Raw genomic sequence first — 13,022 nt, forward strand, 5'->3', positions numbered from 1 at the left:
AATTTTGTTTTGTGTAGACACATCTCACTTTTGTTGCCCAGCCTGGTCTCAAACTTCTGGCTTTGACCAGGAATGGTAGCTCACACCTGTAATCCTAGCACTTTGGAAGGCTGAGGCAGGTGGATTGCTTGAGTCCAGGAGTCCAAGACCAGCCTGAGCAACAGGGCGAAATCCCTGTCTACAAAAAATACAAAAATTAGCCAGGTGTGGTGGTTCACACCTATAGTCCCAGCTACTAGGGAGGCTGAGTTGGGAGGATCGCTTAAGCCCAGCAGTTCGAGGTTGCAGTGAATGGCATGTCACTGCACTCCAGCCTGGGCAACAGAGTGAGACACTGTCTCAAAGAAAAGCCAAAAAATCCCCCCAAAAAGTCCTGGCTTCAAATGATCCTCCTGCCTCAGCCTCCCAAACTGTTGGGATTACAGGCATGAGCCAGCAGGCCCAGCTGAGTCTTCTCTCTTTTTATCTTGGTCCATCTAGCTAAAATTTTGTCAATTTTGTTCATCTTTTCAAAGAATCAACTTTTGGTTTCATTGATTTTATCTATTATTTTTTCATTCCTTATTTCATTTATTTCCAGTCTAGTCCCATGCTGGAGTGCAGTACCCCGATCATAGCTCACTGCAGCCTCAAGCTCCTGGGCTCAAGTGATCCTCCCATCTCAGCCTTCTAAGTAACTGGGACTACAGGAAATTGTCACCATGCCTGGCTAATTTTTTTTTTTTTTTGGTTTGTTTTTTGGGTAGAGATGGGTCTTATGTTGACCAGGTTGGCCTCAAATTCCTGGCCTCAAGTGATCTTCCCATCTCAGCCTTCCAAGTAGCTAGGACTACAGGCAAGTGTCACCATGCCTGGCTATTTTTTTTTTTTTTTTTTTTTTTTTTTGTAGAGATGGGTCTTACTATGTTGACCAGGTGGGTTTCAAATTCCTGGCCTCGAGTGATCTTCCCGCCTTAGCCTCCCAAAATGTTGTGATAATAGACATAAGCCACAGCTCCTAGATGCTTTTTTTCTTTGGTTTAGGCTATTGATTTGAGGTCTTTTTTCTTTTTAAAATTTATTCATTTACAGCTATAAAATTCCCTCTAAGCACTGGTTTAGCTGCATTGCATAAAATTTTAATAGGTTTTGTTTTTATTTTTATTTATTTCAAAGTGTTGTCTAACATCCCTGTAATTTCTTCTTTGATTCATTGTTTATTTAGGAATATGTTTTTTATTTTCCACATATTTGTGAATTTCTCATTTTCTTCTGTGATTAATTTCTAATTTTATTCCATTATGATTACAAAACATACTTTGCATTATTACAATACTTTAAAATTTATGAGTTATTTTTTGGCCTAAAATATATTTTATACTGAAAAATTTTTTCATGTACACTTTATTTTTATTTATTTTTTTAGACGGAGTCTCACTCTGTTGCTCAGGCTGGAGTACAGTGGTGCAATCTCAGCTCACTGCAACATCTGCCTCTCAGGTTCAAGTGATTCTCGTGCCTCAGCCACCCCAGTAGCTGGGATTACAGGCGCTGAGGTGGAGTCTCACTCTGTTGCCCAGGCTGGAGTGCAGTGGCACAATCTCAGCTCACTGCAACCTCTGCCTCTCAGGTTCAAGCAATTCTCTTGCCTTAACCTCCCAAGTAGCTGGGATTACAGGCATGCGCCACCACACCTGGCTAATTCTTATAGTTTTAGTAGAGAAGGGGCTTAGCCATGTTGGCTAGGCTGGTCTCGAACTCCTGGCCTCAAAAGATCCAGCAACCTCAGCTTCCCAAAGTGCTGGGATTATAGGCGTGAGCCACTGCCCCTGGCCCTCATGTGAACTTTAGAAGGATATATATTCTGCTATTGTTAGGTGGAGTGTTTTATAGATATCTGTTAAGTCTAGTTGGTTAATAGTATTGTTCAAATCCTCCCTTTCCTTGTTGATCTTTTGTCTAGATGTTCTATCCATTATTGAAAGTGGAGGTATTGAAGTCCTCAGTGATTATCATTGAATTGCTTATTCCTTTTTTTTTTTTTTTTTTTGAGGTGGAGTCTCACTCTGTTGCCCAGGCTGGAGTGCAGTGGCTGGAGTAGCAAGGACTCTCAGGTTCAAGCAATTCTCCTGCCTTAACCTCCCAAGTAGCTGGGATTACAGGCACACGCCACCACGCCTGGCTAATTTTTATATTTTTAGTAGAGATGGGGTTTCACCATGTTGGCCAGGCTGGTCTCGAACTCCTGACCTCAAGTGATCCACCCACTTTGGCCTCCCAAAAGTGCTGGGATTACAGGCATGAGCCACCATACCCAGCCTGAATTGCCTATTTCTTCTTTCAAGTCTGTCAATTATTGCTTCATGTTTTGGGAAGCTTCATTGTTAGATGCATTTATGTTTATAATTGCTACATCTTTTTCTTTTCTTTTCTCTTTTATTTTCCATCTTCTTGATTGATAAAATGGACCTTTTGCCTGGGTGCAGTGGCTCACACTTGTTATCCTAGGACTTTGGCAGGCCAAGGTGGGAGGATCACTTGAGCCCAGGAGTTTGAGACCAGCCTGGACAACATAGTGAGACCCTATCTTGACAAAAAAAAATTAAAAATTAGCTGGACATGATAGTGTGTGCCCATAGTCCCAGCTACTTTGGGGGCTGAGGTGGGAGGATTGCTTGAGCCCAGGAGTTTGAGGCTATAGTGATCCATGATCACATCACTACATTCCAGCCTGGGTGACAGAGTGAGACCCTGTCTCAAAAAAAGAGAAAAAGAGCCGGCATGGTGGCTCACGCCTGTAATCCCAGCACTTTGGGAGGCTGAGGCAGGTGGATCACGAGGTCAGGAGATTGAGACCATCCTGGCCAACATGGTGAAACCCTGTCTCTACTAAAATACAAAAAAATTAGCTGGGCGTGGTGGCACGTGCCTGTAGTCCCAGCTACTTGGGAGGCTGAGGCAGGGGAATAGCTTGAACCCGGGAGGTGGAGGTTGCCGTGAGCTGAGATTGTGCCACTGCACTTCAGCCTGGGGACAGAGCAAGATTCCGTATAAAAAAAAAGAAGAAGAAGAAAAGACAAAAGAAGAGACCATTTAATAATTTTTAAATGTCCTTCTTTGTTTCTAGTAACAATTTTTGACTTTCAGTGCTTTTTTGTCTTGTATTAGCACAAGCCAATTGAGATTACTTGGTTATTGTTTGCATCATGTATCTTTTTTCTTCCTTTTACTTTCAGCCTATAAATGTCTTTTTTTTCCTTTTTTTTTTTTTTTTTTTTGCTGTTAAAAAAAGTGAGGTTATTATTTAATTAGCAAGGCAGGGTCTTACTATGTTGTCTAGGCTGATCTCAACGTTCTGGCCTCAAGCAATCCTCCTACCTCAGCCTCCCAAAGTGCTGGGATTTCAGGCATGAGTGACCACATCAGGTATCAGCCTATAAGTGTCCTTGAATCTATAATGTGTCTTTCGCAGATAGCTTATAGTTGAATCATATTTTTTTGCTCACTATGCAAATTTCTGCCTTTTACATTTAATGTAATTCCTATAAGATAGAACTTATGTCTGCCATTTTGCTATTTGTTTCTATATGTCTTGTATTTCCCCTCCCATTCCAGCATTACTACTATCTTTTGTATTAAATAGTGTTCTATTTTAATTCCTTTGTCATTTCCTTTAATAATCTTTTGAGTTCTTTTCTTTTTTTTTTTTTTTTGAGATGGAGTTTCGCTCTTGTTGCCCAGGCGGGAGTGCAACGGCGTGACCTCTGCTCACCGCAACCTCCTCCTCCTGGGTTCAAGCAATTCTCCTGCCTCAGCCTCCCGAGTAGCTGGGATTACAGGCATGCACCACTATGCCCGGCTAATTTTGTATTTTTAGTAGAGACAGAGTTTCTCCATGTTGGTCAGGCTGGTCTCGAACCCCTGACCTCATGATCCGCCCGCCTTGGCCTCCCAAAGTGCTGGGATTACAGGCGTGAGCCACAGCACCCGGTCTTGAGTTATTTTCTTAATGGTTGCCCTGGGGATTAAAATTAATACCTTTATTTATAATAATCTAATCTGAATTAATATCAACTTAATTTTAACAGTAAATAAAAGCTTTGCAGGCCGGGCGCGGTGGCTCATACCTGTAATCCCAGCACTTTGGGAGGCCGAGGCGGGGGGATCACGAGGTCAGGAGATCGAGACCATCCTGGCTAACACGGTGAAACCCCGTCTCTACTAAAAATACAAAAAAAAAATTAGCCGGGCGTGGTGGCGGGCGCCTGTAGTCTCAGCTACTAGGGAGGCTGAGGCAGGAGAATGGCATGAACCCAGGAGGTGGAGCTTGCAGTGAGCCGAGATCGCGCCACTGCACTCCAGCCTGGGCGACAGAGCGAGACTCCGTCTCAAAATAAATAAATAAATAAATAAAAGCTTTGCTTCTGTATAGCTGTTATTTTCACCTTCCTCCTTTATGCAGTTATTGTCATACAAATTACATGTTTCTACCTTGTATGCCCATCAACATAGTTTTTTTTTTTTTTTTTTTTTTGAGACAGAGTCTCACTCTGACACCCAGGCTGGAGTGCAGTGGGGCAATCTTGGCTCACTACAACCTCTGTTTCTGGGGTTCAAACGATTCTTGTGCCTCAGCCTCCTGCGTAGCTGAGATTACAGGTGTGAGCCACTACACCCGGGTAATTTTTGTATTTTTAGCAGAGACAGGGTTTCGCTATGTTGGCCAGGTTGGTCTTGAACTCCTGACCTCAATTGATCCACCCGCCTCTGCCTCCCAAAGGGCTGATATTACAGGTGTGAGCCACCATGCCCAGCCCCATCCATATACATTTATAATTTTTAAATATAATTGTATTTTAAATATGACAAGAGAAAAGGAAATTTACAAGCAAAAATTGTATTTAAATATAAATTATATTTAAATACAAATAAAATTATATTTAAATATAAATAAAATTATAAATATAAAGACAGTATTGTCTTTATATTTACCTTATATAGTTATCTTTACTAAAGCTCTTTATTTCCTCGTATGGATTAGAGTTACTATCTAGTATGCTTTCATTTAAGCCTGAAGGACTCCCTTTAGTATTTCTTAGAGGACAGGTTTGTTAGTGACAAATTCTTTCAGTTTTTGTTCATCTGAGAATGTCTTAATTTCTTAATTTCTTCTTCGTTTTTGTTTTAGAGATGGGGTCTTGCTATGTTGTTCTAGCTGGTCTCAAAACTCCTGGTCTCAAGCGATCGTCCTGCCTCAGCCTCCTGACTAGTTGGGATTGCAGGCATGATCCACTGCACCTTCTTAGTTTTTGAGGGATACCTTTGCTGGATGTAGCGTCTTGGTCGACAGTTTTTTTCTTTTTCTTATTTATTTATTTTTGAGAAGGAATCTTGCTCTGTCACCGAGGCTGGAGTGCAGTGGCACAATCTTGCCTCACTGTAACCTCCGCCTCCATGGTTCAAGCCATTCTCCTGCCTCAGCCACCTGAGTAGCCGGGATTACAGGGATGCACCACCACACCAGGCTAATTTTTGTATTTTTAATAGAGACAGGGTTTCATCATGTTGGCCAGGCTGGTCTCGAACTCCTGACCTCAAGTGATCTGCCTGTCTCGGCCTCCCAAAGTGTTGGGATTTCAGGCGTGAGCCACAGCACCTGACTGACAGTCTTTTTCTTTTAGCTCTTTGATGTCATTCCACTGCCTCTGGCTTCCAAGGTTTCTGTTGATAAATCATATTGAGGATCCCTTGTACACATGAGTAACTTTTCTCTTGCTACTTTCAACATTCTTTCTTAATCTTTGTCTTTTGATGGTGTGGTTATGATGTGTGTAGTTGTGGATCTGTTTGAATTTTTCCTACTTGGAGGTGGTTGGACTTCTTGGATTTGTAAATTAATGCTTTTCATCAAATTGGGAAGTTTTCAGCCATTTCTTCAAATATTCTTTCTGTCCCTTTCTCTTCTCTCCTCACCTTGGTTTATTTGATGACATATGACAAGTCTCGGAGGCTCTGTTCATTTTTTGTCATTCCTTTTGATTGTTTTTTCTCAGATTGGATAGTCTCAGTTGACCTGCCTCCAGTTCACTCTTTCTCATTATGTCTGCTCAAATCTGTTGTTGAGACCTTGTAGTGGATTTTTCATCTGTTATTGTACTCTTCCACACCAATATTTCTTTCTCTCTCTCTTTCTCTCCTTCCTTCCTTCCTCTTCTTTCCCTCCCTCCCTCCCTCCCTCCCTCCCTCCCTCCCTCCCTCCCTCCCTCCTTCCTTCCTTCCTTCCTTCCTTCCTTCCTTCCTTCCTTCCTTCCTTCCTTTGAGACAGGGTCTCACTGTATTACCCAAACTATAGTGTAGTGGCACAATCTTGCCTCACTGCAGCCCTGACCTCCTGGGCTCATGCAATCCTCCTGCCTCAGCCCTCCAAGTAGCTGGGACTACAGGCACACACCACCACGCCCAGCTAATTTTTTGTATTTTTCGTAGAGACAGGGTTTCGCCATGTTGCCCAGGCTAGTCTTGAACTCCTGGACTCAAACCATCTGCCTGCCTTGGCCTCCTAAAGTGCTGGGATTACAGGCATAAGCCACCACACCCGGCCTATTTGGTTCTTTTTTTTTTTTTTGAGACGGAGTTTCACACTTGTTGCCCAGGCTGGAGTGCAATGTCGCCATCTCAGCTCACCTCCACCTCCACCTCCACCTCCCAGGTTCAAGCAATTCTCCTGCCTCAGCCTCTCGACTAGCTGGGATTACAGGCATACACCACCATGCAGAGCTAATTTTGTATTTTCAGTAGAGACAGGGTTTCTCCATGTTGGTCAGGCTGGTCTCGAACTCCTAATCTCAGGTGATCCGCCCACCTCGGCCTCCCAAAGTGCTGGGATTACAGGCGTGAGCCACCGCGTCCGGCCTGGTTCTTTTAAACTAATTTCTTTTCTTCTTTTTTCTTTTTGTTTCTTTTAATTGAGATGGGGTCTCAGTATGTTGACCAGGCTGGTCTCAAATTCCTGGCCTCAAGCAATCCTCCCCCTTTGGCCTCCTAAAGTGTTGGGATTATAGATGTGAGCCACTACAGGCAGCCATAATTTCTGTCTCTTTATTGATATTCTCTATTTGGTGACACATTTCTCATACTTTCTGCTATGGTTTGAATATTTATCCCCTTCAGAATTCATGTGGAAATTTTTTTTTTGGAAACGGAGTCTTGCTCTGTCACCCAGGCTGAAATGCAGTGGTGTGAACTCTGCTCACTGCAACCTCCGCCTCCCGGGTTCAAGGGATTCTCCTGCCTCAGCCTCCTGAGTAGCTGGGATTACAGGCATTCACTACCCCACCTGGCTAATTTTTGTATTTTAGTAGAGGTGGGATTTCACAATGTTGGCCAGGCTGGTCTGGAACTCCTGATCTCAAGTGATCCACCTGCCTTAGCCTCCCAAAATGCTAGGATTAGAGGCGTGAGCCACTGCACCCGGCCTCATGTAGAAATTTAACCCTTAATGTGGCAGTATTGAGAGGTGGGGCCTTAAAGAGGTGAGTGGGTCATGAGAGTTCTGACCTCATGGATGGATTAATCCATTCATGGATAAATGGGTTAAAGGATTAATAGGTTATCATGGAAGTGGAAATGGTGTAACAAGAGGAAGACAGACCTGAGTTAACATGCTCAGCCCCCTCACCATGTGATGCGCTGTATCACCTCGGGATTCTGTAGTCCCTGCCAACAAGAAGGCTCTCACCAGAAGCAGCTCCCTGACCTTGGACTTTTCAGCCTCCGTAACTGTAAGAAACAAATTCCTTCAATGACTGTTTGAATTAAATAAAAAGGAATAAAAAGAAATACATTTCTTTTTAAAAATAAATCACCAGCCGGGCGTAGTGGCTCACGCCTGTAATCCCAGCACTTTGGGAGGCCGAGGTGGGCGGATTGCCTGAGCTCAGCAGTTTGAGACCAGCCTGGGCAACACGGTGAAACCCTGTCTCTACTAAAATACAAAAAATTAGCCGAGCGTGTTGGCATGCGCCTGTAATCCCAGCTACTGGGGAGGCTGAGGCAGGAGAATCCCTGGAACCTGGGAGGCGGAGGTTGCAGTGAGCCAAGGTCACGCCACTGCACTCCAGCCTGGGCAACAGAGTGAGACTCCATCTCCAAAATAAATAAATAAATAAATAACCCAGTTTCAGGTATTCCGTTATAAGAAACAGAAAACAAAGACACTTCTTTTTCATTCTTTAGACATGGTTTATTTAGTTGTTTGAACAGGCACAGTGCTCATGCCTGTAATCCCAGCACTTTGGGAGACCGAGTGGGGAGGATCACTTCAGCTCAGAGGTTCGAGTCCAGCCTGGGCAACATAGGGAGATGCTGGCTCTACAAAAAAATTTAAAAAATTATCAGGCATGGTAGTGCACACCTGTGGTCCTGTCTACTTGGGAGGCTGAGGTAGGAGGATTGCAGGGGCCCCGGAGGCTGAGGCTGCCGGGAGCTATGATTGTGCCACCACACTTCAGCCTGAGCAACAGAGCACGACCCTGTTTCAAAAATAAATAAATAAAAATAAAGTCTTTCTCTAGTATGTGCAACATCTGGGTTTTCTCAGGGACAATTGCTATTGACTGCTTTTTTTCTGTGTCAGATTTTCTCTGCATGTGTCATAATTTTCTGTTGAAAACTGGACAATTAAAATCATATATTGGCCGGGCGTCATTGCTCACACCTGTAATCCCAGCACTTAAGGAGGTCGAGGAGGGTAGATTATTTGAGGCCAGGAGTTGGAGACCATCCTGGCCAACATGGCGAAACCCCATCTCTACTAAAAATACCAAAATTAGCTGGGCATGGGGGTGCACACCTGTAATCCCAGCTACTTGGGAGGCTGAGGCAGTAAAATTGCTTGAACCTGGGAGGTGGAGGTTGCAGTGAGCTGAGATGGTGCCACTGCACTACAGCCTGGGAAACAGAGTAAGACTCTGCCTCAAAATAAATAAATAAAAGCATCCTAGCAGGTGTCTAAAGGTGAGGTATAAAGTGTGACCCAGGAGGAGGTGGGCTACACTCCAAAAGACTACTTGAGTTTTCTAATTTATACAAATTGAAATTTGGGGAACATGTATGGGAATAGATACTAAGGGTTGGGATAATAGTGTAAGCAACACAAAATTGGATCTGGCCCAGTTTATTGATATGGGCTCACTGCGTTGAATGTTGCAGCTTGAGGAGTTAGAAAGTGCTCTAACAGTTTGAGTGGTTGGCTAAAACATATTCCAAAGATGTCCCATACTAGCATGAATTGAAATTGCTGGACCTGTCTTGGTTTAACGCAGAGGAAGGGATTCAAAGCCTTAGGGAATTGGAATGTTAGAGTGCATTTGTCATTTAAGACTTACTTACCTACACAGGGAGGGTCCAGACGACTTACCGTTCTATGAGAAATAAATTTGTGAGAGGGCCCCAGCATCCTCAAAGAGCTCTGTGATCCCTCTCCTCTGTAGGTCAAGTTATAGCCCGACTGGTTCGTTTTGCCCACTGCCCTGAAAAAAACCAATGCACTAGGCTGGGTGTGGTGGCTGACACCTGTAATCCTAGCAGTTGAGAGGCCAAGGTGTGTAGATCGCTTGAGCCCAGGAGTTCGAGACCAGCCTGGGCGACATCGCAAAACCTCATGTCTACAAAAAATAGAAAAAATTGGCTGGGTATGGTGGCACTCACCTGTAGTCCCAGTTACCCAGGAGGCCGAGGTGGGAGGATCACCTGAGCCCAGGAGGTCTAGGCTGCAGTTTGCCATGATCGCACCACTGTACACCAGCCTGGGCAACAGAGTGAGACCCTGTCTAAAAAAAGAAAACAAAAACAAAAACAAGCAAAAAATACCAATGCACTGAGAACTGCAGCAAATAAAGAGTTTAATTATTGCAGGTCCAGCCAAGAGGATGGATGGAAGAAATTTCTCAAATTCACCTCTCCAAGAATTCAGAGGCTAGGGTTTTTAAGGGTACTTTGACAGTCAGAGGCCTGGGGAACTGAAACAATTGATTGGCTGGAGATGAAATCACAGGGGTATCTAATAAAGACCACCAGAAGCAGTTTGCTTTTAGCTGGCAAGGCCAGCAATACACTTTGACTGTCCTATCTCAGAGCTATGTCAACTTTCCAGTCCACTGGAGAGTTCACAAGGATCTTGATTGCTTTTTTCTTCCACGAGATATTATGCTGGTCCATTACATTGATATTATTTTCTTATTTTAGAGACAGGATCTCACTCTGTTATCCAGGCTGGAGTGCAGGGGTGTGATCATAGCTCACTGTAAACTCGAACTCCTAGGATCAATATATTCCCCATTTGGGTATGTTACTCCAGCCCATTTACCAAATGACCTGAAAAGTTTCCAGTTTTGAGTGGGGCCCAGAACAGAAGTCTCTGTAACAGGTCCAGGGTGCTGTGCAAGCAGCTGTGCTGCTTGAGCCATGTGATCCAGCAGATCCAGCGGTGCTTGAAGTGTCAGGGGCAGATATGGACACTCTCAAAGGTCTTCAATCCTCTGCAAAGAAGTACTTTTTTTTTTTTTTTTTTTGAGACAGAGCCTTGCTCTTATCGCCCAGGTTGGAGTGCAATGGCACAATCTTGGCCCACTGCAACCTCCGCCTCCTGGGTTCAAGCGATTCTCCCTGCCTCAGCCTCCCAAGTAACTGGGATTACAGGCGCCTGCCACCATACCCGGCTAATTTTTGTATTTTTAGTAGAGACATGGTTTTGCCATGTTGGCCAGGGTGGTCTTGAACTCCTGACCTCAGGTGACCTGCCCGCCTCGGCCTCCCAAAGTGCTGGGATTATAGGCATGAGCCCTGGCACCTAGCCAGAAGTACTCTCCTTTTGAGAAGTAGCTCTTGGCCTGCTACTGGGCCTTAATAGAGACTCAGTACTTAACCTTGGGTCACCTAGTTACCATGGAACCTGAGCTGCTCATCATGAACTCGGTGTTATCTGCCCCACCAAGTCACAACATTGGGCATGCAAAGCAGCATTGCATCATTAAATGGAAGTGGTGTGTACATGATTGGGCTTGAATAGTCCCTGAAGGCACAGGTAAGTTACATGAAGAAGTGATCCAAATACCTGTAGCCCCCATTCCTGTTACTCTGCCTTCACTCTCCCAGCCTGCACCTATGGCCTCATGGAATGTTGCCTATGATCAGTTGACAGAGGAAAAGAAGACCCAGGCCAGATTTACAGATGGTTGTGTACATTACACAGGCACGACCCAAAAGTGGACAGCTGCACACAAAAGTCCCTTTCTGGGACACCCCAAAGGACAGTGGTGAAGGGAAATCCTCCCAGTGGGGCAGAACTTCAAGCATTACACCAGGTCGTTCACTTTGCTTGGAAGGAGAAATGGTCAAACATGCAATTATATATTGATTCATGGGCTGTAGCCAATAGTTTGGCTGGATAGTCATGGACTTGGAATGAACACTATTAGAAAATTGGTGACAAAGAAATCGAAAAAGAGGTATATGCATAGACTTCTTTGGGCAAAAAAATGAAAAGATATTTGTGTCCCATATGAATGGTCACCAAAGCATGACCTCAGAAGAGGAGGATTTTAAGAGTTAAGTGGAACAATCAACAGAGTAAACAGAGTCTATAGAATGGGAAAAATATTTGCAAACTATGCATTTGACAAAGGGCTAATATCCAGAATCTACAAGGAACTCAAACAACTCTACAAGAAAAAAAAAACCCCATTAAAAAGTGACCAAAGGAATAAACATTTTCCAAAAGTCATACAAGCAGCCAACAAACACAAAAAATGCTCAACATCACTAATCATCAGAGAAATGCAAATCAAACCCACAATGAGATACCATCTCACACCAGTCAGAATGGCTATTACAAAGTCTAAAAACACTGTAATCTCAGCTATTAGGTGGCTGAGGCACAAGAATTGCTTGAACCCGGGAGGTGGAGGTTGCAGGGAGCTGAGATCACTCCACTGCGCTCCAGCCTGAGAGAGACCTTGTCTCATTAAAAAAAAAAAAAAAAAAAAAAAAAAAAAAAGTCTAAAAACAACAGATGTTGGCAAAGATGCAGCGGAAAAGGGAATGCTTACATACTATTGGTGGGAATTTCAGTACAACCTTTATGGAAAACAGTATGGAGATTACTCAAAGAACTAAAAATAGAACTACCAGTGGAGCAGAACAGAGGCCTCAGAACACCACACATCTACAATCATCTGATCTTTGACAAACCTGACAAAAACAAGAAATGGGGAAAGGATTCCCTATTTAATGAATGGTGCTGGGAAGATTGGCTAGCCATATGTAGAAAGCTGAAACTGGATCGCTTCCTTACACCTTATACAAGGATTGATTCAAGATGGATTGAAGACTTGAATGTTGGACCTGAGACCATAAAAACCCTAGAAGAAAACCTAGGCAATACCATTCAGTACATAGACATGGGCAAGGACTTCATGACTGAAACACCAAAAGCAATGGCAACAAAAGCCAAAATAGACAAATGGGATCTAATTAAACTAAGGAGCTTCTGCACGGCGAAGGAAACTACCATCACAGTGTACAGGCAACCTACAGAATGGGAGAAAATTTTTGCAATCTACCTATCTGACAAAGGGCTAATATCCAGAATCTACAAAGAACTCAAGCAAATTTACAAGAAAAAAACAAACAACCCCATCAAAAAGTGGGCAAAGGATATGAACAGACACTTCTCAAAAGAAGACATTTATGCAGCCAACAGACACATGAAAAAATGCTCATCATCACTGGCCATCAGAGAAATGCAAATTGAAACCACAATGAGATACCATCTCACGCCAGTTAGAATGGAGATCATTAAAAAGTCAGGAAACAACAGATGCTGGAGAGGATGTGGAGAAACAGGAATGCTTTTACACTGTTGGTGGGAATGTAAACTAGTTCAACCATTGTGGAAGACAGCGTGGCAATTCCTCAAGGATCTAGAACTAGAAATACCATTTGACCCAGCAGTCCCATTCCTGGGTATATACCCAGAGGATTAT

General features: G+C 43.6%; 1 long non-coding RNA gene across 1 annotated transcript, besides 1 other annotated feature; it reads right to left on the reverse strand.

The window, feature by feature from the left end:
* Positions 1-8,199: 8,199 nt before the first annotated feature.
* LOC124902938 (uncharacterized) lies at positions 8,200-9,583 on the reverse strand. Its single transcript, XR_007063318.1, has 2 exons — positions 9,398-9,583; positions 8,200-8,349 (listed from the first exon to the last, which is right to left on the reverse strand). It is a non-coding gene; the product is annotated as an uncharacterized LOC124902938 (long non-coding RNA).
* Positions 10,810-11,104: an enhancer, noted in NCBI's record as "tiled region #12722; K562 Activating DNase matched - State 7:EnhWF". NCBI's record gives its function as "activates a minimal TATA promoter and a strong SV40 promoter by Sharpr-MPRA in K562 cells {active_cell/tissue: K562}" and the evidence as "EXISTENCE:reporter gene assay evidence [ECO:0000049][PMID:27701403]".

Source organism: Homo sapiens, chromosome 12 (assembly GCF_000001405.40).
Source record: "Homo sapiens chromosome 12, GRCh38.p14 Primary Assembly".
Lineage (NCBI taxonomy): Eukaryota > Metazoa > Chordata > Mammalia > Primates > Hominidae > Homo > Homo sapiens.